This window comes from Homo sapiens, chromosome 12 (assembly GCF_000001405.40).
Source record: "Homo sapiens chromosome 12, GRCh38.p14 Primary Assembly".
NCBI classification, from domain to species: Eukaryota; Metazoa; Chordata; class Mammalia; order Primates; family Hominidae; genus Homo; species Homo sapiens.
In genome coordinates, this window is record NC_000012.12 from 55,817,786 (window position 1) to 55,844,203 (window position 26,418).

Here is a 26,418-nt window from a genome sequence, read left to right on the forward strand (position 1 = left end):
ACCAATCGTTGTCACTCTTGCTCCCACGCCATACCATCAGCTCTTCCCATTGGTCAATAGCTGACGTCGCTCTCACTTCTCTAGGCAGCTTGCCCCACCTCTTTCAAAAGGTGGAACTGGGAGAGGGGCGGGCACTGTATCTTGCGAACGACAGAAATGGCAACCAACTGTGCTTCTGCATTACAGACCACCAACCAATGGGTGGTGGCAGCGCTGATTCTGTTCCTCCAATAGGAAAGGGGCAGAAGGAGAGGCGTTACTTCCTGGAGACTTCAGGTGTGGTAGCCGGCGCCGCGCCCATAGCCGGACGGGGATCTGAGCTGGCAGGTAGGAGCTGCAAAGACTGTAAGGGTTGCTGAGGAAAAATGGTGGGAGGCGAAAGGGGCGCCGAGGGAGTGGTGACCTAAATACTGAGAGGGGAGCGCTGAAGGGAGCCCTGAAAAAACCGATGAACATGAGGAGGAAGCTGGGAGGGGCATGGGGCGGGCTTAAGGAACTGGCGGTGGGGCTGGGGCGGGCAAGAGCCGCTTCCTAACCAGACATCATCAGCTTTAGAGCTACCACAATTTTAAAGATCCGAGTTCAGATAATCACTGCTGCCCCTGGAGTCAGAGCCAAGGCTCCACCTTTCGAGGTATTGAGCTCAGGTCCCTTCCTAACCCAGTCCAGAAGCCGTGGGCAAGTTGTTGTCGTGCCCCACGCTTGAGAGAAGTAATGGGGATGCAGACTGTTTACATGCCACGGAGGTGAGAGAGAGGGTGGACAAGCCCCAGAGAACAAAGTGGGGACCAGAGTGAGCTTTACTCTGTCATCCCTTCTTAGTGGTTCTTTGATGATTCCATGACTTTCGCCTGGAATTCTGGGTGTACGTGACCTCTTCATGGTTATTAACTTCTTCAGCAAAGTCAGATACTCCTATTTCCCTTGCTCCCTGAAGTGAGTGCCCCAAGCCTACACATACACCTTCATGTTACAGTTGACGTGTAAAGATCAGAGCAATAATGACTATGTCTCTGAAATGTAGTGAGGACTCTTCTTGTCTTTTAAAGTTTTCCCCAAGTCTTCAGTTTTTATTTTCTGCGTGATGGGTAAGTTCTTCATTCCCAATAGAGTTCAGGGGATTGGGGCTATCTGAGAGACAACTGGGAGATAGCTCAAGAGGGGTTGAGAAAAAACTGAGCTGGACTCCTGCCTGATCCCCCATTACGGCTAGGATGAATGTGGGGGTGGCACACAGCGAAGTAAACCCCAACACCCGAGTGATGAATAGCCGAGGCATCTGGCTGGCCTACATCATCTTGGTAGGATTGCTGCATATGGTTCTACTCAGCATCCCCTTCTTCAGCATTCCTGTTGTCTGGACCCTGACCAACGTCATCCATAACCTGGTGAGCACTAAACCACGCCCTTGTACCCACCCCAGGGTTTCCCAACCAAAAGCAAAATAAAATCACCAATTGTTTGGGGATTTATGTGTTCCTTTTGGGATCTTAACATAATTCTTTGACTGAAAAACTACTTTCTGCCCCTCACACTGCCACCTTCCCTGTTCCCAGGCTACGTATGTCTTCCTTCATACGGTGAAAGGGACACCCTTTGAGACTCCTGACCAAGGAAAGGCTCGGCTACTGACACACTGGGAGCAAATGGACTATGGGCTCCAGTTTACCTCTTCCCGCAAGTTCCTCAGCATCTCTCCTATTGTGCTGTGAGTCTATGGGGGAAATGAGATATGCTGGGTTAGAAAGAGCTCCAAGAGCCAGGTAGAAAGGCCCATAGGGAAGCTGTTAAAAAGCAGACTTCTCATCTAAAACCCTTTGAAGATATTATGGTATACTAGTTCTAAGCCTACAGAGAGCAGTAAAATGTAGATTACAGTCAATACTGTAATCAAGCATTCCTTGCTGCCTCCTTGGTAGTAAGGAAATGAAGGGACTGAGAAAAGATAAGTGCCAAATAAAACCAAATGATTTTACACTGCCAAAAGAAGTAAATAAAGGCAGAACTGATATTAATCTTCAAAAACACTGTAGGGAGTGGAAGCAAAGAGGACTGTAACAGTCATACAGACTGAAATAGCTTGAGCCGTCATTTGCCATGTCATTAACAATTAACAGATACTGACTTACAGTCTCCAGTTAAGGGTGCTATCTCCTGAACCCCAAAGTAAATGCTGTTGATATAGCTGGAATAGTTTTAGATAATCTAGAACTATATACAGTAAAACTGGTCATTTAAAATAGAAGAGAAAGAGCAGGGCACTGTGGTGCATGCCTGGAGTCCCAGCTACTTGGGAGGCTATGGCAGAAGGATTGTTTGAGCCCAGGAGTTTGAGGTTGTACTGCACGTATCACACTTATGAATAGCCACTGCACTCCAACCTGGGAAACATGGTGAGAACTGTCTCTTAAAAAAAAAAAAGAATATGGATAGAGAAGGTCAACCTCACTCACCCTATTTTTTTCTCTCCCCAGCTATCTCCTGGCCAGCTTCTATACCAAGTATGATGCTGCGCACTTCCTCATCAACACAGCCTCATTGCTAAGTGTACTGCTGCCGAAGTTGCCCCAGTTCCATGGGGTTCGTGTCTTTGGCATCAACAAATACTGAGGGATGGGTTTTGGGACAGCTCCATGGGCATGGGGAAGGCACTGAAACAGAGGACTATAAAACATCCTTCTCTTATTCTCCATACTGTCTTCTACACCTTTAAAGCCTGAGAACTATACAACCTTTCCCAGACTCCCAAGAAGAGAAGAGATTGGCAAATGGGGCTCCTGGGCCCAGTCCTGCTAGTGGCAAGTTTCTTTGAATCAGGAAGGCAGGTGAGGTAAGGGCCAAATCACTCTCCTCCATAGCAGGAAGCCATTTGGGCAGCTTCTTTGGTGATTACATCTTTCCATATCTTTTACACTTACCACCTTCCAGCTCTGTTTTGCTGTGTATTTTTCTTACAATAATTTTTTTCAGCTATAGCTGCAGTTTAATCAGGATGGGTAGAGAGCTGTCCTCATAAGGCTGGGGGTGGGAAGATGGAATACTGACCTAATGTATAAAACTTAAAACAATTCTCCAATCCCCTCTCCTTTGGTCCAGTAGGAGGTGCCCTTCACTCTAAGCTTAACACTTAGTAGGGAAGAGATTCTCAAATGAGAAAAAGGGCTCCGGCTATATGGGCAACAAAGAGGGAAGATACAGGTTGCCAGTTATACATTTATAGAAAGATAATCCCCTGGCTTTAAATAGTCATGTACATACAAATATGAACAAACTTAAAAAAAAAATACAAACCCTTGGATCACATGGGGGCTTCTGGGAACCCCCGTATTCTTCCCCCTCACCCAAGGGCAGTGGGCATGAATCTACTTTTTAAAAATGATTAATTTTGGCCATCCTTGCAGAAAAGAGCCTAAAATTGGGTGATTTACCCACAAAGTGAAAGTCGAGGGAAAATTCAGTTTCCAGTCTCTGAACTCTATGCGATAATCTCCTATCATTAGGGCTACATGCTTTCTTGTTCTCTTTTAAATATTATATCAGGATAAAGGAGAGGGCTCCCTCCTGAAATGGGTCAAGAAAGAAGATAGACTTGTAGCTTTAAAAGGGTGGGAAAAAGTGTCATCTGCCCTAAAAGCAAATGACAAGACAAAGGCATACAGACCCCAGGGAAATACCCAGTTCCCACACCTAAAGGGATACACTGTCCAGCCCAGGTCCAGGCCCTAGGTTCTTTACTCTAGCTACCCCCTATTTCTTTGGTATTGTCAAAAGACAAGATTCAGGCCGGGCACAGTGGCTTATGCCTGTAATCCAGCACTTTGGGAGGCCAAGACGGGTGGATCACCTGAGCTCAGGAGTTCGAGACCAGCCTGGGCAACATGGTGAAACCCCGTCTCTACTAAAAATACAAAAAAGAATTAGCTGGGCCAGGTGTGGTGGTGTGTGCCTGTAATCCCAGCTACTCAGGAGGCTGAGATGGGAGAATTGCTTGAACCCGGGAGACAGAGGTTGCAGTAAGCTGAGATCACACCACTGCACTCCAGCTGGGCAACAGAGCAAGACTCCATCTCAAAAAATAAAAAGAAAAAGATTCAGTTCCTAGGTGTTGGGGGAGGAGGGATAAATCAAACTCCATCCTGTGCTACAGCCCTTTTGACTCCCTGACATTGATTTGAGGAAAGAGAAGGGGCATCAACGTTGGAAGGGCCTCCTCACTTTCTTCCGCCGCTTAGGTTTGGCTTCTCCCTTGGGTACTGTGCTGTTGGGCTTAGAGGCTGCAGCGGCTCCAGGGGCAGGCTGAGGAGCTGCAAAGAAGTTCCCATTGGGCATCTGCCCTGGGGGTACTTGAAAGATCCGACTCAAGAAATCCTGAAGATCAGCAGGAGGGGCATCTGGGGTGGCTCTGAGGTAAAACAGAAGAAATAAGGCAAGAGATGTTAGAGTCATATGGTTACCTAAGTTAGATATACTTATCAGTTCCCAAACTTCCTAGAAAACAAGGCCCCTGGGTGTCCTAAAAAGCAGGTCATCTGAAACCGTATTCAAAACTGAAATAGTGGATAGATTATTGACAGAAATACCACCTACCTCTGCCGCCCTCTGGTGCCTGGAATCCGAGAACCAAATGAGATGTGATAGGGGACTCTGTGGGTATCTGGGGAGATACCTACACGCTGGCATCCAGCCCACTCTATAAACATGAGAAATAATTAGCCAAAACGTCGCAGTTTAGAGCACATAAAAGATCAGGAAGTATGAGCCTGTATTTCTAGAGGACAGAGAGTACCTGTGATGTCATACACCTTTCCATCCATCAGTGCAAAGTAGGTGATCTTGAGGCCCAACATGCTTGACTCTGCCCAAAAGTCTCCTTCCTCAGCAGGATGCAGCCTATTACACTCAGCACAGTATCTGGCACTCTTAGGTTCCCGGTCCATTTCAAACCTCCTGCAACCAACAAAAGGATAGTTCCTTAATAATTTGTCAAGCCTACCTAGGGCACTGCTAGTAGTCTTACCATTATTCACAAATAGGGCTGAAACATCTAAAATTACCCCACTTAGTATTTCATATCCCTTCAACGTTCTATCCTAAAGCTAATGTTTCTTAGTGCTAATTAAAATCGTCAGTCTATTGACAATATGACAAAGGTAGAAACTTAAGGGTCTTTTTACTAATTATGAGATACAGATGTAACTCATAATTACCAGTACTCACTAGAAAGATCCTTGGTTACATAATCCCTGAGCTGTGATTGTCCCATCCCTCTCCTTCTATTTCATACCTATGCTTTCCTTGGCATCGGCTACACATCATAGTATTCATTGCCTCCTTGAGGTCATCTTGCAGCTTGGACAGAAACTCATTTACTGACCGGCTCAGCTCATTCTCTGCCATTCGTTTCCTAATAGAAGAAATGCTTTGTAAGTCAGAAGGTATTGAGGGAGGGACAAAGGAAGACATATCAGTTGGCCTCTTGAGGCCCCTGTCTAGCGAGAAAGACAAGTGACTTCAGTTCTCTCCATCTCAACAAGCCTCCACCCCCAAGTCCAGATGCCTCTGCTATTGAGGATTTTTCATTTACCATTATCTGATGATTTCCCATCTCCAACTTACATCTCATACTCCTTTCGCTTTTCAGCATTGCTGACAATGTCCCAAGCTGCTCGCAAAACCTTGAAGGCCTCCTCAGCCCGGGGATGATGATTTTTGTCAGGATGAACCTACCAAGACAGAGAGATTTCATTACAAATCCATTCCAACCCTCTCCTCACCTTGAATTTATTCTCATATCAAAGGGTTCTCTTTCATCACCCTTTTGAAGAGTCAGTGTAGCTTAATGATTAACTGCTCTGACTCTGCAGATCTGGTTCAATTCATGGCTCTGTTATAATTAGCTACATTACCTTGAATATCTTTTTTTTTTTTTTTTTTTTTGAGATGAAGTCTCGCTCTGTCACCCAGGCTAGAGTGCAGTGGCACGATCTCAGCTCACTGTAACCTCCACCTCCCAGGTTCTAGCAATTCTCCTGCCTCAGCCTCTCTAGTAGGTGGGATTACAGGCATGCACCACCACACTCAGCTAATTTTGTATTTTTAGTGGAGACGGGGTTTCATCTAGTTGGCCAGTCTGGTCTCGAACTCCTGACCTCAAGAGATCTGCCTACCTCAGCCTCCCAAAGTGCTGGGATTACAGGCGTGTGCCATCATGAATATCTATCATGGATTGTTGGGATTATCTATCATGTCAGCCTGAATATCTATCATGGATTGTTGGGAGGATTAAATAAGAATATATATGAAGTATGTAGCAAAGAATCAGGTACTACGGTGGATTCATCATTCCAGTTTGCCTGAGACTGTCCCAGTTTTAGCACTAAAAAGTCCCATGCCTCTAGAAACTCCTCAATCCCAGATGAACAGGGACAGTTGGTCTCTGGCACACACATGTATCAGTCATAAAATAAGAGTTCCAAAGATGTTACATCTTGAAACTCTTTTTTAACTAGAAAATTCTCATATCCAAAACTTCCTACAGTGATATGCCTTTCAGTCCCAGAAATGAAATAGCATATCATGGTCTCAGAGACTTTATGTACTTTTCAGCCTTCTCTCCAAGACAAGTAATATCCTCTCTTCCTACAGCTTCCTGATTGTACCCATCCCCATTCCCCAAAAATGCAGAGATAAAGCTAGTCTCCTGACTGATGCCAAATAACTAAAATGCTGTCAAATTTCCCACATTCCCAAGCTAATTGAACAGCCTTTTAGTCATGTTCACACTAGGGCTTAGTAAGGCAGTGAGAGGTTCAATAAAAGCCCAGAGACACTCTGGTCCAGGACAGAGAGAGATCTTTGGGGTATAGGGATAGATGTTTTGAGGTTAGGGGAACTTAACTACATCTCTACTTCAAGAGAAATTGAAAAATGAGAATTTTTGTTAAGAATAATATTCTCCAAAACAGGATGTCTACTAAAAGAAAGTGAGAAAAGAGCTCTACTACTAGTAGAATTAGTAACAATGAGAGTAAACAATTGTTACCCACTCTAAGAATACAGCAGAAGCCAAGCGCAGTGGCTCACGCCTGTAATCCCAGCACTCTGGGAGGCCGAGGCAGGCAAATTGCTTGAGTCCAGGAGTTCGAGATCAGGCTAGCCAACATAACAAAACCCCATTTCTACTAAAAATACAAAAAATTAGCCAGGTGTGGTGATGCACGCCTGTAGTTCCAGCTACTCAGGAAGCTGAGGTGGAAGCCACCTAAGCCTGGGGGATCAAGGCTGCAGTGAGCTGAGATCCTGCCACTGTACTCCAGCCTGGGGAACTGGAGTGAGACCCTGTCTCAAAAAAAAAAAAAAAAAAAAAAGAATATACCAAGCTACCTACTAAGGGGCATACATTTCCCACCAAATTAATTCAGTCCTTTGGTAAGTTACAGGTGTGGTGGTTTACTGTACCTTTAATCATTAATGGAAACTTTAGTTGCCCATTCCTCTTTGGTGTCATGCAGCCATTGAGGTAATTTGCACACTGTGATGTTTTACCAGTCCAGCTCCATACACTCCAGTGTAAGTAGGCCTCCAATTTACACACCTTACTTATATTCATAATAGTTTTATTTGTACAGAAATAGCAGTAACAATCTGTTATCTAATATCAACCTAATATCTACTTCTAATGCAATTTGATTGCATGCTTGTATTAAACCATTTCCCTCAAGCATAAGGTGCATGACAACTCCCATCTGCACACCCTCTTTTTTTTTTTTTTTTTTTGAGACGGTGTCTTGTTCTGTCGCCCAGGCTGGAGTACAGTGGCGCGATCTCGGCTCACTGCAAGCTCTGCCTCCCAGGTTTACACCATTCTCCTGCCTCAGCCTCCCGAGTAGCTGGGACTACAGGCGCCCGCCACCACACCCGGCTAATTTTTTTGTATTTTTAGTAGAGACAGGGTTTCACCATGTTAGCCAGGATGGTCTCGATCTCCTGACCTTGTGATCTGCCCACCTCACCCTCCCAAAGTGCTGGGATTACAGGCGTAAGCCACCGCGCCTGGCCCTGCACACCCTCTTATCAATAAAAGCAACCATATTTTCATGTATGACATACATATGCATACACCTCCATTTTCTTGCCCTCTCCTATTCTGAGTTGCTGATCTTGAAACAGCCTGTTTTCTCCTACCTGGTGCTAAAATCCTTACATGCACTCCCTGACCCTCCCATACTAGGTCCATATTTGCTTCTCTGGGAGAAATAGTTGGGTTACCCCATGTTTAAAAAAAAAAGAAAACCCTCATTTGTTCAGGTAAGAGCAACTGAGGTGCTCTCTGAATAGGTCTTTTTCCCACTCCAGTTAGAGGGACTTCACCTAGATTTTCCAGGTGAGTGAGTTCTACACTGCCCAATATACCAGGTTCAAAGAATATATCTCGTGACAAACAAAATGGAGGGAAGATCAGATCCCATAGTGGAGGGGAAAATATCTTTTTTTTTTTTTTTTTTTTTTTTGAGATGGTGTGGCTTGGTTGCCCAGACTGTAGGTTCATGATCGCAGCTTGTTGCAGCCTCGACCTCCTGGGCTCAACTGATCCTCCCACCTCAGCCTCCCGAGTAGCTGGGACTACAGGCATGTGCCACCAAGCCTGGCCTCCCAAAGTGCTGGGATCACAGGTGTGAGCCACTGCACCTGGCCCAAAAAGTCTTTATGACTCTTTCCTAAGACTATGTTAACCAGCTGGGCACAGTGGCTCCTGCCTGTAATCCCAGCACTTTGGGAGACTGAGGCGAGCGGATCATGAGGTCAGGAGATCGAGACCATCCTGGCTAACACGGTGAAACCCCGTTTCTACTAAAAATACAAAAATTAGCCAGGCACAGTGGCAGGCGCCTGTAGTCCCAGCTACTCGGGAGGCTGAGGCAGGAGAATGGCGTGAACCCGGGAGGCGGAGTTTGCGTGAGCCAAGATCACGCCACTGCACTCCAGCCTGGGCGATAGAGCGTGACTCCGTCTCAAGAAAAAAAAAAAAAGAAGAACGTTAACCTTCACCTACCCGTTAACTTTCTACTCTGCCTTCCCTTTATTCCACTCTCCCTAAAACTGGAATAGAAAATATAGGAACAGGCTGGGACCAGTGGCTCACACCTGTAATCACAGCACTTTGGGAGGCTGAGGTGGGTGAATCATGAAGTCAGGAGTTCGAGACCAGCATGACCAACATGGTGAAACCCCATCTCTACTAAAAATACAAAAAAAATTAGCCGGGCATGGTGGCGCGCACCTGTAATCCCAGCTACTCAGGAGGCTGAGGCAGGAGAATCGCTTGAACCCAGGAGGCGGAGGTTGTAGTGAGCTGAGATTGTGCCACTGCACTCCAGCCTGGGTGACAGAGCGAGACTACATCTCAAAAAAAAAAAAAAAAAATATGGGAACAAAAGAGAGAAACAGGAAACAGAAGGGTACTCACCATCACTGCCAGCTGTCTATAGGCCTTCTTCAGTTCAACATCTGATGCTGTGGCCTCAACCCCCAGTACATGGAAAGGGTTTAGCTCATCCTCAGGAACCCCAGCCATGGTCAAGAGTCGAGCCACTTCCTCTTCAGGCTGGCAGTAGCGCCCACTAGCTACAGGTGCATTCCCCTGCCTATTAATATTCTGCTTGACCCAAGGCAACTCCAGCCAGCCCCACTGAACTATTCTTACCAGCCGCTGCCATGGCCTGCTATCTCTCAGCAGAGTCAAGCAACGCTGCAAGGCTGGAGAATCCAGCCAAGAGAAGAGCCAGGTAGCCTTATCCCTCCAGCCTAACCGGTCACCTAGTCCCACCAGAAACCGCCATCCCAACTGTAGAAAGCCCAAAAAGAGGGCCAGAGCCAGGAGCAGCAAAGCACCCAGCAGCTTAAGAAAACGAGTAAACAGTCCTACTCCACAGTAAAACCCCTGGCTTAGAAACTGAAACATGACCTGGGCCCAGCCCCCTAACCGCCCTGTCCACACTCCCATCCAAACTCGAAAAAGGTCCAAATCACTGCTTTTCAGTTGCCTGCAGGCATAGATGAGATGGCCACAAGTTTCTACGTACTCTCCCACCAATACCAGCAGTTCAATCAGCCACCAAAAGCCTGCCTGTCCAAGTTGACATAGTTCCTCGGCTCCCCACAATCCCAGGCCTTTGCGCTTATCTGCCTGACTTCGTTTCCGACCCAGCCGATGTCGACCAGGGGACCTGGGATCCCTACGTCCACCCTCCCGAGTATCCTCCTTCGTTGGAAAGCGGTGCCGCTGTCTCCGGGATGGGGGTTTCTTTCCGCTGGACACACGTGAAAAATCACTGGGGAACTTGAGAGATTCTTCATCATCATATTCCTCTTCCAACTCATCTTCCCCCAAAGCTGGAGAGGTACAGTGGTGGCAAAAGTTGCTAGAAGAACCATTTCCTCCCTCAGAGTAAGGCCCTTCTGGAATTCCAGGTGTTCCCTGGCAGTTGCAAGCAGATGGAATGGAAAGAAAAGAGTTCCCATCCTTCTGGTTCCCAGTCTCGTTTTCTTTTGAGAGTTCCTGGTCCACTCCTGATTCTTCTTCTGAAGACGTCTCACTCTGATCAGGGTCCTCTGCATCTCTAGGTGGTCCTGGACCCCCTGGGGGGCCATGGCTTGGGTCCAACCAATGGGCTGGGTTTGGGTGCTGTGTGTGCTTAGGACCAGAGTGCTCTGTGAGGCAGCGGGTACCATTAGGAGCAGTCCCTGCTGAGTCCCTGAGTCCTGAGAATGAAGGTATTTCAGGGTCCACGGAGGGTCCTAAAGTCCTGAGGGAGGCACCACCACTGTGGTGGGCTCCATACAACCCTCTTTCTCCGGGGTGCTTCTGGGCCATGACCCCGGGGCTTCCTGAGGGTCTTAGGTCACAGCCATCATGGTGTGTTCTGATGCCTGTAACAGATATCAAGGTGGAGACAGTCAAGGATGAGACCAAGAGAGGAATTAAACAATCTCAAATAGTGGACACATTTAATTCATCCACCTCCCTTGTTTTCCCAAGTTCTTTTGGGGCATTCGCTATTCCTAGCAATAAGCCAAAACTAGACTCACCACAACCCTGCTTGCTCCCTCCCCTCTCCTCCAAATCACTTAAGTTTTTCTTCTTTCCCCAGAAAACTATAACCTTCAATCAGGGAAACAGGGAGGTACCGTAAAGGGTGTGGTCGGGGGAGGGTGGGTCACTCTTAGGAAAATGGGAAAGACCGCCGGAAAGGGGGCCACAGACTTCCAGTAATGGGTGGGGGCCATGCGGCCCTGGAGGAAAATCTGGGGGCGGAGCTTAGGGCTGCCCCTAAGAAAGACTAACAGGGAACCCACCGGCTGTGTAGAAGGGACGAAGGTGGCCGGGCACCGTGGCTCACGCCTGTAATCCCAGCACTTTGGGAGGCCGAGGCCGGCGGATCACGAGGTCAGGAGTTCGAGACCAGCCTGGCCAACATGGTGAAACTCCGTCTCTACTAAAAATACAGAAATTCGCCAGGCGTGGTGGCGCGCACCTGTAGTCCCAGCTACTCGGGAGGCTGAGGCAGAAGAATCGCTTGAACCCGGGAGGTGGAGGTTGCAGTGAACCGAGATCGTGCCACTGTACTCCAGTCTGGGTGACAGAGCGAGACTCCATCTCAAAAAAACAAAAAAAAACGAAAAAAAAAAAAAAGACGGACGTACCGAAGAACGGCGGTAACTCCTCCCCCTCGAGCCGCCCGGCCTGGGGCCAGGGTGAGCTACGAGAGCCGCTCTCCCGGCTCCGCCTCCCGCTCACGCTCTGCTTCCGCCTTCCGTCCCCGCGGCCGCCGGCGACCTGGGCCTACTTCCACTTCCGGGGTCACCAGGGAAGAGACGGGAAGGAAAAGAAATAGCGGTTGGCTGAGAGGCAAGCCAATCCAGCTAGGGCTGCGTCGACTCCAAGGAGGCGGTCCTAAGGAAGTACTGGCCCCGCCATTTAAAGGCCCCTCCCTCCGCGTGTGGGAATGGGATTCCCGCAGGTTGCACCGCAGGAAGCAAGGCAGGTGGACTCTGCACCAATGCCTGCAGACTAAGGGCAGACTCTCAGGATTGCTCTGGGTGTATTCCTAGGCTTTGTATTCCTGGGAGATGGAGGGCAGCCACCGAGCCACATATAGTCTTTTTCCCTTGCAGACAAAACCAGGGAGCTCAGAAGAGTCACTGCCCTGATCCCTTCCGTGCCGGCAGCTGCGAGGACACAGGCCCCTTTGTATCCTGCGGTGCGGAGGTGGAGCAGAGGAGAGGGTGCCCCGGCTGGCCCCCTCCCTCGCCCCGCAGCACTGCCCCTCCTTTCACAGCAACCCACGGCCTCCCCCGCGCTTGACCCAGCTGGCGAGCTGCCCCTTATACCTGGATCCGCCCCTCGGGTCGCAGCTCCCCAGGCCCGATCACCGAGCGGTGCCTAGGAACTGGGAGCGTAACTTGGCTCGGCTCAGAACTTTGCCCGTGAGCCAAAGAACACTGAACTCATCTACCTGCTGCTTGACATCTCATCTGCATACCAAGCTATTTGGTGGACGTCCACAAGCGCCCCCGCCCCCACGTAGACCCAGTTGGGTCCCCGTTCCGTCGGTCCCCTCCTCTGCACACGCCTCTAGCCTTATACCCCGTCTTGATCCGAAAGTTTTTCCACCCATGAACCCCCAGTTGGCGCTCCCCGACCAGCAAAAGCCCCTTCCCTGGTCCACGATCCCGACCACCCGGTTCTCCAGGAGACAATACTCCAATTCTCTGGAAAGTGGAAGAAACCAAGCTGAAGCTAGGGGGGCGCTGGGACCCCTATTGGGGCTTTGAGAGCTTCCGGTTGTCATCTCCTAAGTATTCGGAGACCCTTCTCCAAAACTCTTGGGGTGACCCTCAAGACTCTTACCTGCTATATAGTTGGGGGTCTCTGGTCCTGGACTAGAGCAGTAGGCAACCTGGGTCCCCCCACACACACGGGAAAGAATTGGAGGGGCCTGCCTTGTGATGTCACCCCTCCTCCCCCCACCGCGCGCACGCGCGCGCGCACACACACAAACACAAACACACACCCCAACACACACGCCCTGTCCCCTTTCTCCACCCTGCAAGCTAGTTGCATTTAGCTCACAGAGCCTGGGCTGCGACTTGAAAGAGTTTAGGCAGCAACAGAGTGACCCTGGGGGTGCTCTTGACCGACAGCCGCACCCCCGGCGTCTAGGACCTCCGAGCAGGGATGCATCTGGAGGTCTAGGGAAGCACTTCCACCCCCTCCTCTCCTCAATCCTGGCAGGATGGTGAGTAGTTAACATCCCCTCCCCAACCCCCGCTTGTCCAGGGTCCCCAGACTTCCAAGCAGATTGAGGAGAGGAGCTCCGAGAGTCAACCCTCCAGCCTGTAAGGACCTTGATATCCAAAGGACAGCTGAAGAAAGTAATGTGCCTGCATTTTTGCCACTTCATTCCCACAGTGCCCGAAATGCCAGCTCCTCCTTGGTGTTCTCCTTTCAGGATTTGAATTCAAATCCCATTGGCAGCCCTGATACCGCTGGGGGAAGGGTGAGGTAGGAAAAGTCCCACCAATATCCTAAGGGGAGGTGCGAGTGGCTACCAGGATGTGAGATGTCTGTGGGCAAAGTCCCTGCTTATTCCATGAGGGGCTGTGGGATTAGGACTGTGGCTGGATGCCTCTTCCTCCAACAACTCCATCTCAGCATGAAGCTGAGGCTTTAAAACCCTGACAAACTGTGGGTGACTGTCTCTACTTAATTCCTCCTCCCAAACTCTTGGTGTCTGGTTTTTTCCCTCTTTCTGCCCTGGGCCTGGAGCAGCTGTCCAGAGACCCCCACCATGACTCATACTCTCCTGTTCTCCCTCCCTCTCCCCTCTCTATTAACCTCACCCTTCCCAATCCAGTGGGGTAGTATTAAGTCCCAGTCGCAGATGGGGCAATAATGTCCCAGCACCCCTCCCTCCACACACCCAGGGCTTCCTGTTCTTTCCACCCTCACCCTGAAGAGCTGCAGGGTGGTGGGGGGAGGCAAAGGCTCATTACTTTATAAGATTTTCATTACTTTATAAGATTTCATTTTACATTTTACTTAAGTGTACTTGTTTCAGAGAGTGGTAAAGACAGATCCTGCTCCTCTCAATCCAATCCTGTAGATTTCTTCAGTTACCTCAACAGGGTCATACTGGCTCCTGAAATGGGCACCATTATTTAAAAGAAATAGAGGTACAGAGTCCTCAAGATTTATGGGCACCTGAGTTTCTGCCCCGTGCCCCGCTGCAGGTTTCCCAATCCCCTAAAGACATTCATGGATGGGTGAGAGGAGCTGACACCTCCCGCTCTGTGACCACTTTCTCTTTGGCCATGGAGGAAGTCTTGCTGCCCCTGGCTGTGACATCTGACCCCAGGCCCTTTAATCAACAACTCCCAGAGCCTCCAGACCCAAGATGTGTTTTGGAACCCCAGGACAATCCTGAACTGGCACTTGCCCTGGTGTGTGCCCTTTGCTGCTGCTTTGGAATCATCTACTGCTGCTTCAGTGAGGGCAGGGCCAAGGACCTGGGGGGCCATTGCCCAAGACTGTCATCCTCAAGGATGATGCCAGCTTTCCTCCTTGCTCCTGGGCCATCTCACCTCCTCTGCCAGGGGTTCCTACCTCTAGTGTGGCCCATGTTGCTCTGGCTGTATTCCTAGGCCCATGTTGCTCTTGCCAGCTTCTTGTCCATCCTCCATGCCCATGCCTTCCAGCTTTCACCTCTGGCATCTATCATTTGCTCTTCTCTTAACTCCTACCTGAAAACCCCATTCCTAAATTATTCACTATATTTCAGACTTCTTCACTCTTCTCCAAAAACCTGAATCAGCTTGTGCTGATTTTTTCCTATCTGCTATCCCTAAAAGGACTAGACCTTCTTTCTATCCTTACTCCCCTCAATGTATCCATCTTACCTCTTGATTTTCCCTCCCATTCCCTCACAGTTCCTGAAACAGTGCCCCCCCCCGACCCTAAGCGACCCCTTTCTGCCCCTGGCCTTGAGGTCCCTTGACGTGCTGCTCCTGTCTTCTGCTCCTCTAGTGAGCCATTCCTCTCCCTTGGAATTCATCAGAGTCATCCCTGTAGAGCCCCCTTCCTGCCTCTCAATTCCTCCTGCCTCACTTCCCAGGCTACTGCTGCTTCAAGACAGTGACGTTTCTCTCCGGTCAGCTGTCAGGAGCGCTGGTGAGCTTCCTACTGTGCCACAAGGTGCGGGTGCTGGAGACACAGCTGAGCCTGGAAATGAGAGTGGGCATCGCCGTGGTCATCATGACTCCTCTGCGGCGTGGTCACCATGTTGGTTCACTGTGTTGGGCTCTTATTGACGGGTCTCCTGCTAGGCCTGACCTTGGGTGCCGGAGCCCTGCTGGCTTCTGAGCCTATCTACCAACCACCTTCAGCCTGGGTGCCAGCTGGGGGGCTGGTGGGGCTGGCGCTGCTGGGAGCCCTGCTCACACTTCGGTGGCCACGTCCATTCACAGTTCTGGGCACAACCCTGCTGGGTTCTGCAGTGCTTGTGGCCTGTGTTGACTACTTCCTGGAGGGGCTGGCACTGGGGAGTTGGCTGGGCCAACGCCTGCAGACACTTCCAGCCTTGCCTTCTCTCTGCTGATATAGCTGGGTCTTACTGGGGATCTGGCCAGCCTTGGGGGCCCTTGGAGCCCTGGCCCAGTGGAAGCTCGTGCCTGAGGAACATGGAGGCCACGCTAATGGTGAGTTAGTGCTGTGGTACAGAAGCAGCCAACCTGTGCCTACTCATGTCCCCAGTTCCTAGACTTAAGGAGGGAAGGGGAGAAATACACTTGAGGAAGGAGAGTGGGGGAGGATGTCCAAGGTGAATGGGGCAGGGCACTGAAAAAAAAAGTTGAAGGAGTCAGGGGAAGCAGGAAAGAGTTACAGAAGGAAAGGAGGATCTCAGGGAAGTCTAGGAGGAAAAATAGAATTTCGAAGAATTTCTTTTAGAATGAATTGTCGGGGGGGTGCTGGGCACGGTGGCTCACGCCTATAATCCCAGCACTTTGGGAGGCCAAGGCGGGCGGATCACGAGATCAGGAGATCGAGACCATTCTGACTAACACGGTGAAACCCTATCTCTACTAAAAATACAAAAAAAAAAAAAAACTAGCTGGGCCTGTTGGCAGGCGCCTGTAGTCCCAGCTACTGGGGAGGCTGAGGCAGGAGAATGGCTTGAACCCGGGAGGTGGAGCTTGCAGTGAGCCAAGATCGCGCCACTGCACTCCAGTCTGGGCGACAGAGCGAGACTCCATCTCAAAAAAAAAAAAAGAGGAATAAATGGGGGGGGAAGATGAGGCTTGAGAGAAACAACAGGAAGGTCAAATGGGTTTCTTTAGAATGTGAGTGTGTATAGGGTAGGATTCAGGGCCTAAAGAGGCCTTCTTGAGTCTGTATTGCCCCCTCCGAAGCAGTGGTCTTTTTTTTTTTTTTTTTTTTTGAGATGGAGTCTCACTCTGTCACCCATGCTGGAGTACAGTGGCATGATCTTGGCTCACTGTAACCTCCGCCTCCTGGATTCAAGTGATTCTCATGCCTCAGCTTCCCGAGTAGCTGGGATTACAGATATGCATCACCATGCCCGGCTAGTTTTTGTATCTTTAGTAGAGATGGGGTTTCACCATGTTAGCCAGGCTGGTCTTGAACTCCCAACCTCAAGTGATCCACCCACCTCAGCCTCCCAAAGTGCTGGGATTACAAGTGTGAGCCACCGCGCCCGGCCAGCAGTGGTCTTAAGCCACCAGCAAAGCCATCTCCAACTCCTTCAGACCCTTCAGCAAAAGGCCAAATGGCACTGGATCCCCTCTGGGGTGGGGCTTTGTGAGGGCAGCTGTCGGCATCAGCTCCCTGCCAATACCTGCAGCCCTGCTGACAGTCTCGCTCCAGTGAGTGGGGGACTTGGGGACACCCTGGGCAGATGGAGCAGAGGACATATGGGGATGGTCAGGGTGGGAGGGGGGCTCTGACCCAGGCCCCTCCTTACTCCCTCTCTGCCCTGTGTCCCTCCAGAGTTACTTCCAGAGTCTTCAAGAGTGCCAACTGGGACCAGGACCCCAGACCACAGCCCCCCACACCGTCCTGGACCTGGATTCTGACTGTGGTTCCACTGTACCCCTCACCTTAATCTCTGGTTCTAACCAGACCTGAGCCTAGACTTCCACTTTTTCCCTTACCCCTGTGAGGGCCTGGGAACACTAGGTGGGCAGGGTTTGAGCCCACAGGACCTGCACACAAACTTCCCCACCTCTTGGACTTGGGGACAGGATCTGTGCCTCAACCCAGACCAGCTTTGTAGGGATATGTTCCAAGAACAGAGAAGAGTCTTATGGGGAAGGGGGAGGAAGGGAAGTATGAATATTTACCTCTGACCAATAATAGAGGTGCCCTGGTCCCCAAAGAAATTGACTCCCGAATTCCCTCCAAGCCTTACCCATATAGCTTTTGTTTGTTTGTTTGTTTTCAGACAAGGTCTTGTTCTGTCCAGTGCCGTGGCGTGACCACAGCTCATGACAACTTTGATTTCCCCGGCCCAAGCGAGCCTCTCATTCAGCCTCCTGAGTGGCTGGGACCACAGACGCCACACACAGCTAATTTTTATGTATTCGTTTTTATTTTTTTGCAGAGACAGGGTCTCCCTATGTTGCCCAAGCTGGTCTTGAACTCCTGGGCTCAAGTGATCCTCCTGCTTCAGCCTCCCAAAGTGCTAGGATTATAGCCACCGCACCTCGTCTTGAAATAGCCTTTTAAATGTTCACCTCAGCTTGCCTCACAGTGGTAAAAATAAGCATTTTTTTGTTTTGTAGGATCAGGGAGCTTCCAAGGCATTTGATACCTTTTTGATGGGAAGAAGGGCTCTGAGGAGCTCCAAGATACCCCAACCTCCAGGCCCTTCATTAGGGGGTAGTTGGGTTTCTGTTTGGCCTTTCCCCCTGGGCCCCATAGGCTTAAACTACCCCCACCCCCACCTCCGCCTCCTACCTCAGCTGGGAGCACTGTCTTCCATGGGGCTTCCACTTCTCTCCTCAACCTGGGGAAGACCACAGGGCAGTGCCTGCCTCAGGACCTGCCTTCCCCAAAAGCTGGCTTCTTGCTCCAAGGAGAGAGCATTGACCCACCTGCCAGAGTCTTGCCTTTTGCCCAAAGGAGCCTGGTCTTCAGGGCTGCATAGGATGCAAGTGCCTTCTCTGCTTCTCACCGTGGGTGGCACTAATTTCCTCCTTAACCAGAACTTTGTTCCAGCCACTGACCCATTCTAACTCTTCCCCCTCTGACTCTCCTGCGCAGGGTCTGTTCCTGGTTTCCCAGATGCATAAAGGAAGACATATCCCTCCCCTGGGCAGCAAGGCTACAATGGGAGGGAGGGAGAACATGGGAGCATGTGAATAAAATGGCATTAAATACTGAACCAGGGAGTCCAGCCTCTGCTGTTGCTGCTCTTTTCTTTCTCTGCACCCCAAAACAAAGAGCTAACCATCTTGACAAATCCTCTGTCCCCTAAAGATCTAATAGAGATGCCCTTATTATACAGACTACTGTAAGAGTTATACAGCCAGACAGCTAGAGGAAGAGCTGTTCAGTCCTCTCTTATGAACATGGAGTTAGCTTTTATTAAACACAAATGTACCAGACACTGTGCCAGGCACTTCACATACAGTATTTCATTTAGTGCAACAATCCTGCAGTACTGGTCTTAACCTAATGTTGCAAATGGGGAATCTGAGATTCAACAAGGTTAATTAGCTTGCCCGTAATCATAAGCACATAAATGTGATTCTCAAGGATTCCAAGGCCCTTGCTCAGTTTACTGGCCATGCTGTTTTCTTGCATTTTATGTAGGAAGAACAGGACCCAGGCATCTCCCTCCACCATTGACCTCCAGAGAAGAGATGACACAGTTGGAAGGGCTGTCTAAGACAGACAGGAAATGGAGTTGGGGGCCAAATCTAAGTTAGGGGATCTGAGTTAGGGGAGCACTTCTCAGGAGTGAAAATGCACAGGAAAGTGGTGGCTGGAGTTGGAAGTGTTAGAGGCCTGAGATCTACGGTCTTGCGCCTGCTACAGCACCTGCAAGGTTCTACTGAGCAGACAGGTATTTCATTCAGCTATTAGGCCTTAGGCTTCTGGGGGGGAAATGAAAGGGTGGGTGGTGGAGCCTCAGGGGTTAATGTCCAAGATTGTGTCTGTGGGTGAGCAGTCAGTATTCAAACGTGGTTTCTGTGGCTGAGAGAGTGGTATCCAAGGTTATGCCCGTACCTGAGGGAGTGGTATTCCCACCTGATGGGGTAGTGTCTATAGTCCGGGGACGACAGTGCATCCAGTTGTGGGAAATATTTCTGGGATAGCCTTTCTCTACTCGAAGCTGCTGGTTGAGGCGCCAGTAGACTTTGCCCTTGAAGAAGTAGACTCGGCCATCTTGCCAACTCATAGCAGCCGAGGGCTGGTTTGGCACTCCCGTAAACAAACCCTTGATTGGTTTGGGGTAGCTGCTGAAGTCAGTTCGGGCTAGCTCGTCCCACTGCCAGTACCCGGAGCCCTGGATATGGGATGGGTGGGGAGAGGGGAGAGGAAGAGGAGAGAGCTTAGGACCCCCAGGGGTCCACCCCCAGCCCACTGCAGCTGCAGAACATCTCCCTTCAAGCGCAAGCTTTGCTTCTCAGTATAAGGTAGCCCACTCCTCCTAAGAAGGGATTTGCCCTTGCTTTGAACTTTATACCTTAAAGAGGAACACCTTTTGGTTGAGAGGCCAATAGAGAGCTGCATCCAGGTTAGGTTCTACCCTATTCAGCTTCTTGGGGAAGCCAGGAGACATCTTGAAATTAATGTAGCGCCACACCTTGTCTCCTGAGAGCATGTGAGGAAAGAACAAGTCACCTCTGTCCTCAGGTGATAGCTTTTGGTCTCCTCCGGTCCACCTATTCAGAAACTTCTCATCTCCCTCCCTTTTATAGTTTCTTTAAGATTAGGCCCTCCTCAAGTAAGACACTGTAACTAGCCTCCTTACCCTTAAAGAAGTGAATCCATTGTGTTCGAGGCGAGTAGACAGCAGCATCCAGGTTTCCGGGGAGCCCCTCCCAAAGGGCAGACACTCGGAACAAGGGGCCCGGTCCTGAATCTGATACAGTCCACACATAGTCCCCCTTGAAAGCATAGGTCTTCCCACGGGGCCCTGAGCGTAATGGTGTGTCAACAAGTCAAAAAGACAGAGGTCAAGTAGACAGAAACTTGGGGGTATCTCAGGCTGACTAACAATTTGCCCTCTCCCTGCAGGCTGATTCTTCAAAAATTCATTCAACTTTAATTCAAAGAGAAAATTAAAGGCAGACAAAGAGGACTCAGAATGCTTTGTTGCTCAGAGCGTTTCAGCTTTGGTCCACTCAACAAAACAAAAGCCCTGCAGATAGCTATTCCTCCTTAGGAACCTCACCCTCCCCTCCAAGTGGCTTCCTAGTTGTCCTTCCAACCAGGTGCACCCTCTCTAACAGGCAATCTGGGTAATATAGTTTTCTCCATCTTGCTGCATTTCCAGATGTGTTCTAGTGGCCCTTAGAGCGTGGCAGCCTTGGTAAGTGCCTGCCTAAGCCACCTTTAATTTGGCTCCGAACTCTCCCTCCCCATGTCACATGTCTCCTTCCATGGTCATTAATGCCTGGGGTCTAACCTCCATTGCTCATGCTGAAGTCCCATGTCACTCCCATTTGTCCAGGCCTCAGGATCAGCAGGCTGCCCCCACCGCCTGCCAACAGCCTGGAGGGGAGGGGCCTCACCCAGCATCATGGCATCCAGTTCACTACTGCAAGGGTCTGGCATGGGACTGGGTTCTGTGGGCACTGGGGGCACAGTGGGCAGCTCTGTCTCTTCTTCTTCCTCATCCCTTATCACTGGACTCTTCTTGCCTATAAGGTAAAGTAATGCTGCTTAGGGAGAGAACTCACAGCACCTGTCCTCCACACCAGTCTCCTGTAAGTTTTGCTCAGAGTCCCCATACAGAGGGGAAAAGGGAATCCTAGAGCGTTTTCATTTGTGGTAGGCAATATTATGTTGATATCAGCGGGAGACACGTTCTAGGTTTGAGAGACACCAGAAAGGGAGAAGGAGGATTGTTAAAATGTGCATTCTTGCCGGGTGTGGTGGCTCACGCCTATAATCCTAGGACTTTGGGAGGCTGAGGCGGGTGGATTGCCTGAGCTCAGGAATTTAAGACCAGCCTGGGCAACATGGTGAAACCCCATCTCTACTAAAATACAAAAACAATTAGCTGGGCGTGGTTGCGTGTGCCTGTAATCCCAGCTACTTGGGAGGCTGAGGCAGGAGAATGGCTTGAACCCGGGAGGCGGAGGTTGCAGTGAGCCAAGATCATGCCATTGCACTCCAGCCTGGGTGACAGAGTGAGGCTCTATCTCAAAAAAAAAAAAAAAAAAAAAGAAGGTGCATTCTCCATCCCCAAGCATGGGTGTAAGGAGAGAGGCCTGGAAGGAAGATTAGACATAGAAGAGTCTGAGAAAAACTGCTCCTGAAAATGAAGAAGCCTGAGTAACTGGGCTGGAGGAGAAGAAAGACACTAAGCTATATCCCTACATGGAGGCTAGACCTGTCTCTTCAAGCCTTGACGTGGGAGTCAGACTGACCCTCCCCCTCACTAGGGGGAGGGACTGACCATAGAGAGCCTGGATCCCTGCCACATCATCTGGGTGCAGCTTAAAGTGGGGCCGGTAGCCCTCGTAGACTGGGGCCATGAGGGCCTGGGAATATCGGGAGTGCCCAAGCCCCAGAGCATGGCCCACTTCATGGGCTGCAATGATGCGCAGGTTCACCCCACGGTAGGTCCCCTCAGTCCAGAACTCGTCTTCGTCGAAGTGCACACTGCCCAGCTCTGGGATGTCGGCATGGGCCAGGACTCTCCCTGGACAAAGGCAAAGGTGAACAGGAAGGAGGTCAGAGCCCGCTAGGCTAGAGCACACCCTGCCTATTATAAACTCTAATTAATGCATACCTTTAAAATTCCCCCAGCTATGTTCACTGTCTCTTGGATGCTTCTTTCTCCCCTTTCAGATTCCCCTGTCATCACCCAGTTCTCTCAGGAATGCCCATCACTGTCCCTTACCTTCCCAGCCACTCCCTGCTCTCTGACCCAGTCCTCTCTGGCCCATACCTCTAAGGTATGCCTTGAACAGGGGAACTTAAGGGAGAAAAAGAAGCATAGGCAGCCAGGGGTGATGGCTCACACCTGTAATCCCAACACTTTCAGAGGCCAAGGCAGGAGGATTGCTTGAGTACAGGAGTTTAAGACCAGCCTGGGCAACATAGCAAAACTTCATCTCTACAAAAATTAGCCAGGTGTGGTAGTGTTTGCCTGTAGTCTCTACCTGGGAGGCTGAGGCGGGAGGATCACTTGAGCCTGGGAGGTTGAGGCTGCAGTGAGCCATGATTGTGTCACTGTACTCCAGTCTGGGCAACAGAGTGAGACTGTCAAGCAAGCAAGAGAGAGGAAGGAAAGAAGGGAGGGAGGGAGGGAGGGAGAGAAGGAAGGAAGGGAGGGAGGGAGGGAGAGAGAGAAGGAGAGAAGGAAGGGAGGGAGGGAGAGAAGGAAGGGAGGGAGGGAAGGAGAGAGAAGGAGAGAAGGAAGGGAGGGAGGGAGGAAGTTTCAAACAGGAGGCTCCATGTAGATGACCAACTGCGCCCGTGCTCCCGTTAGGAGGTAATTAGAGAGCGTATGGTGCAGGTGGGATAAAGAGCAGCCCAAACATCAAGGTTCTAGAGTCACTGGTTCAAGGAGACAGAGGTAATCTCAGAGGTCTATGAGGTGGGAACTGAGAACTGTTGCCTACCAGGCCCATCAAAAGTATTGGAACAGTACGAGCTTTGGCGGCCATGGAAGGAGAGGCGGATGTCAGCCGCACCAGCCTGCACCTCTTGGAAGGTCAAGGGAGCCACATTGCTCCAGTCCTGGAAGGCTTGACGCAGGGCTGCCCGGGCTGTGTGGGGTGGAAGGGTGGAGGGCAGGTTCAAGATGCGGAAAGTCAGGTGCTTCTTTCTCCAGCGGCCTAGTTAATGACCAGAAAACAGATTAGAAATACAGATCCTTCTGCCAACCCCAGAGAGCTCCTCTGGGTTTAGGCACTCAACCCCCAAGACAGGTGACAACCAGGTAATCACCAGGTGATTATCTATTCAACACTGAGCTGGTCCAGACTGTCCTAATGCCACCCACACGCCAGAACCACATCACCCCCTCCTCTCCCTCTCTTTTCCAGGCTCTGTTCTCACCCAGCAACAGGTATTTAAGGGTCTTCTGGTTGAAGGGATCCTCTAGGCCACAACGAGGCTGCCTCATGCGGGCCCTTGTGGCATCATCCAGCTGACCTGAGACTGGAAGTTCAGATGCTTCCTGAAAAGCTCTGAAGGAGGGAGAGGGATGGGTCTACCAGGACAGGAAAATCTGAAATGACTGGGAGATGATTGCTCTTTGACTTCCTGCTGCCCAAGTTCATGGCCAAGAATAGCACAGAATCCCTGAAGCTGACAGGGTTACTCCAGCCTCCAGTCCTCATAACTGGGACTTTCTCTTCTGTTCTGCAGAAATGGAGATACTCCAGCTTCATCTCCCCATTTTCAGTGTCTTTTATTTGAGTAAGTTTGCCCTCAGGTGTAGCCTTCCTCCTCTACTGCAATCTTCCTTCCTTCCTTCCTTCCTTCCTTCCTTCCTTCCTTCCTTCCTTTCTTTTTCTTCTCTCTTTCTTTCTTCCTTTCTTTCTTTTTTGGTAGAGATGGGGTCTCATTATGTTGCCCAGGTTGCTGTCAAACTTCTGGGCTCAAGCAATCCCCCTGCCTGGATCTCCCAAAGTGCTGGGATTACAGGCGTGAGCCACCATGCCCAGCCCCTCTACTGCAATTTCTAACCTTCTCCTACTCTGTGGAGGTGTCTGGCTCCCCTGCTCTGGAGAGCTTTCCACTAGTGCTCCCACCTGACAGCCTGTCCTCCTTCAGCCTTCTCCCTTCCTGAATGGATACCCGTCCCAGCCCAGCTTGCCCTGGAGCAATTTCATCCATCTATGGACTGTCATAGGGCCTAGGGGCTTTTCAAGGGACCTGAACATATCTGAGAGCAGAAAGAAAAATAATCCATTACATCAACATATAAAACTATAAAATAGAAATAAATAAGTACCAAATTGAAGGCCCACAAAAGGTAATAGCATGTCAACAACTCAACTCAGTTTTACATATCATTACACTTTATGTGGACTATAACTAAATATTAGTATTTGAGATATGATGTGGGTAGAGACTCCAAAGGAATGCTTATGGCCTAGGAAGATCCAATGCCTGTATTCCTCATCTGTGAATCCCCATCTCACCCCATGCCCCACCACCATAATAATGATCGCCACCCATCTCTAAATCCCTGGCATGGTTTAGGGTCAGGAGGAGGTGGGCCTGGGGAGAGGAAGGGATGAGAAGGAAGAAGACCTTGAGACCTTAGCCCTAAAGGCATACACCTCATAGCTTCTCACCTCAGAGCCTCGGTGATATCTTCTGGCTTGAAGTTATTAGATCCTTCTAGAGGCTTCTGTAGGTACCCATATTGTGACAGGTAGTCCTATGATGGGAGTGGAGGTAAGCAGGTTAAAAGGGGGTTAGTCTCAGAGTAAAGCTTCTAAGTGACCTAACAGATCCATCAGGAGAGGAGGGACCTGATATGGAAGCACTAATGGAGAAGCACCTTAGAGAAGGGGCTCAGGTGGAACAAGGGGAAGCAGCGGGAGATGGGCAGGGTAGACCATGGGGCAGAGAGAGCAAGGGAAAGGCAGGCAGGCTGAAGGTCAGGAGGGAGGCTTCGATGGGGCTGTGGAGCAGTAACCCCTGTCCCTCCGCTGGCCCAGGTCTCTTTCTTGGGGGACTTACCACAGGCGCCACCTCTGCAAGCCCCAGGACCCGGCCTGAGACTGTCATGGGGAGTAGGAAGCCCAGCCACAGCTGCTGGCAGTTCATGGTCCCACCAGACGAGAGCTCCAGAGGCTGTCCGTGCCTCTGACCTGAGATTTCTGGGAGCCTTGGGGGAGCAGTGCTAGGCAGAGGGGCTCTTACCCCCAGTTCTTTTTACTCTCCAGCCTCTAGTCCTCTTTATAACAGCTGAGGGGAATTTGGGGGAGAGGCAGAGGGAGGTGACTCAGCCAAGAGATATGTTGCAATTCACCATTAACCCTTGCCCTACCAGAGAGCGGAAGCCAAAGAGAGTTCCCAATCGCTTCCCTCAGAGTCCTCTGCTGGAGATGGAAAAACTTCATACTGCCCTAGGGTGAGCATCCAGGCAGGACGAGAACCAGAATCTCTGGAGAGACTAGAGATAGGGATCATGGACATCCCCTGGAATTAGACATCAATGTGCCTCAGGGACCCTGGGCCAGCAAATCACTCCGCCCCTACCTTTGAGTCTCCCTAGAATAAGCTGAGAGGTAGGAAACAGCTGAGGTAGCTTGGGTTTCAGGTGAAGGAGTCAAGCGTGAAGTCTCAGTTTCTTTGTACCCAAGACCAAGTTGGGAATATAGATGCTCCTGCAACCTACTTATGTCTGCTTTAATAAAAAGTCATTATTTCAAGAATCTAATGAGCCTGGAATATGTGGGTGTAGGTGGGACTTAACAAGGGCACAAATAAGTAAAGGGCCCAGAGCCTACCCTCAGGGAGCTTACGGATCCAGTGAGGCAGATCCAGACACCTGGGAAGAGGGGAGCCAGCGTGCCAGGCCAGAGGTGATTCACCCTAAGGGGCTTGGGGCTGGGGGGAGGTTTGCTGAGAAGTCAGGCTTTGAGATGGGCTTTGAAGGCCAGCTAAGAATTGATGGGGTAAGGCCAGGCATGGTGGCTCGCTCCTGTAATCCTAGCACTTTGAAAGGCTGAGGTGGGTGAATCACTTGAGATCAAGAGTTCGAAACCAGCCTGACCAACATGGTGAAACCTTGTTTCTACTAAAAATACAAAAATTAGCCAGGTATGGTGGCGGGCGCCTGTAATCCCAGCTACTCGGCAGGCTGAGGCAGGAGAATCACGTGAACCCAGGAGGCAGAGGTTGCAGTGAGCTGAGATCACACCATTGCACTCCAGCCTGGGCAACAGAGCAAAAACTCCATCTCAAAAAAAAAAAGAATTGATAGGGTAAAAGGATACTGAGAGACAGACAGTGCAGGTCTTGAGTAAAAGTGCAGAGCTGAGAGACTGCTGTACTCAGTAAGTCAGAAGGGTCACGACTGCTTCATTCACCACTGAAGCCCGAGTGCCTACCCCAGGCCACCTCCATGCTTTCGAGGCTGTGCTTAATAAATCACTGTCAAAGAATGACCAGGGTGGGAAAGTGGTTGGGAGACA

At 50.3% G+C, this 26,418-nt stretch overlaps 3 protein-coding genes and 1 pseudogene across 16 annotated transcripts, besides 3 other annotated features; 2 read left to right on the forward strand and 2 right to left on the reverse strand.

Moving 5' to 3' along the window:
* Positions 1–255: 255 nt before the first annotated feature.
* Positions 256–4,094, forward strand: ORMDL2 (ORMDL sphingolipid biosynthesis regulator 2). Its single transcript, NM_014182.5, has 4 exons — positions 256–327; positions 1,214–1,388; positions 1,557–1,708; positions 2,475–4,094. Exons 2-4 carry the CDS (start codon positions 1,215–1,217, stop codon positions 2,608–2,610), a joined length of 462 nt encoding a protein of 153 aa, NP_054901.1. The 5' UTR covers positions 256–327; position 1,214; the 3' UTR covers positions 2,611–4,094.
* DNAJC14 (DnaJ heat shock protein family (Hsp40) member C14) lies at positions 3,200–12,990 on the reverse strand. Of its 5 annotated transcripts, none has more exons than NM_001394689.1 (7): positions 12,911–12,990; positions 9,467–10,929; positions 5,617–5,723; positions 5,285–5,404; positions 4,787–4,947; positions 4,588–4,690; positions 3,200–4,402 (listed from the first exon to the last, which is right to left on the reverse strand). In NM_001394689.1, exons 2-7 carry the CDS (start codon positions 10,871–10,873, stop codon positions 4,192–4,194), a joined length of 2,109 nt encoding a protein of 702 aa, NP_001381618.1. In that variant the 5' UTR covers positions 10,874–10,929; positions 12,911–12,990; the 3' UTR covers positions 3,200–4,191. The 5 variants fall into 5 exon arrangements, with proteins under 5 accessions (NP_001381618.1, NP_001381617.1, NP_115740.5 ...); NM_001394688.1 differs by lacking the exon at positions 12,911–12,990 and adding an exon at positions 12,391–12,742; NM_032364.6 differs by lacking the exon at positions 12,911–12,990 and adding an exon at positions 11,704–11,802.
* Positions 11,740–11,849: a silencer, noted in NCBI's record as "silent region_4538". NCBI's record gives its function as "represses an Ori minimal core promoter by ATAC-STARR-seq in GM12878 lymphoblastoid cells {active_cell/tissue: GM12878}" and the evidence as "EXISTENCE:reporter gene assay evidence [ECO:0000049][PMID:35858748]".
* TMEM198B (transmembrane protein 198B (pseudogene)) lies at positions 11,823–18,461 on the forward strand (annotated as a pseudogene). 4 transcript variants are annotated; one of them, NR_036478.1, is made up of 6 exons: positions 11,823–12,040; positions 12,175–13,298; positions 13,472–13,564; positions 15,086–15,229; positions 15,662–15,756; positions 17,066–18,461. The product of NR_036478.1 is annotated as a transmembrane protein 198B (pseudogene), transcript variant 3 (transcript). The 4 variants fall into 4 exon arrangements; NR_036476.1 differs by having other exon boundaries at positions 15,174–15,756; NR_036479.1 differs by lacking the exon at positions 15,086–15,229.
* Positions 12,378–13,115: an enhancer, noted in NCBI's record as "NANOG-H3K27ac-H3K4me1 hESC enhancer chr12:56223947-56224684 (GRCh37/hg19 assembly coordinates)". NCBI's record gives its function as "activates a minimal SCP1, AML or CMV promoter by ChIP-STARR-seq in naive H9 embryonic stem cells {active_cell/tissue: H9 hESC(naive)}" and the evidence as "EXISTENCE:reporter gene assay evidence [ECO:0000049][PMID:30033119]".
* Positions 13,070–13,269: an enhancer, noted in NCBI's record as "active region_6460". NCBI's record gives its function as "activates an Ori minimal core promoter by ATAC-STARR-seq in GM12878 lymphoblastoid cells {active_cell/tissue: GM12878}" and the evidence as "EXISTENCE:reporter gene assay evidence [ECO:0000049][PMID:35858748]".
* MMP19 (matrix metallopeptidase 19) lies at positions 17,648–25,151 on the reverse strand. Of its 6 annotated transcripts, none has more exons than NR_073606.2 (9): positions 24,959–25,151; positions 24,568–24,653; positions 23,321–23,422; positions 22,882–23,097; positions 21,711–21,956; positions 20,715–20,949; positions 20,058–20,222; positions 19,770–19,897; positions 17,648–19,589 (listed from the first exon to the last, which is right to left on the reverse strand). NR_073606.2 is itself a non-coding variant. In NM_002429.6 (9 exons), exons 1-9 carry the CDS (start codon positions 25,043–25,045, stop codon positions 19,251–19,253), a joined length of 1,527 nt encoding a protein of 508 aa, NP_002420.1. In that variant the 5' UTR covers positions 25,046–25,151; the 3' UTR covers positions 17,648–19,250. The 6 variants fall into 6 exon arrangements, 4 of the variants coding, with proteins under 4 accessions (NP_002420.1, NP_001401304.1, XP_047284819.1 ...); NR_182299.1 differs by having other exon boundaries at positions 23,321–23,451; NM_002429.6 differs by having other exon boundaries at positions 20,821–20,949; positions 23,321–23,451.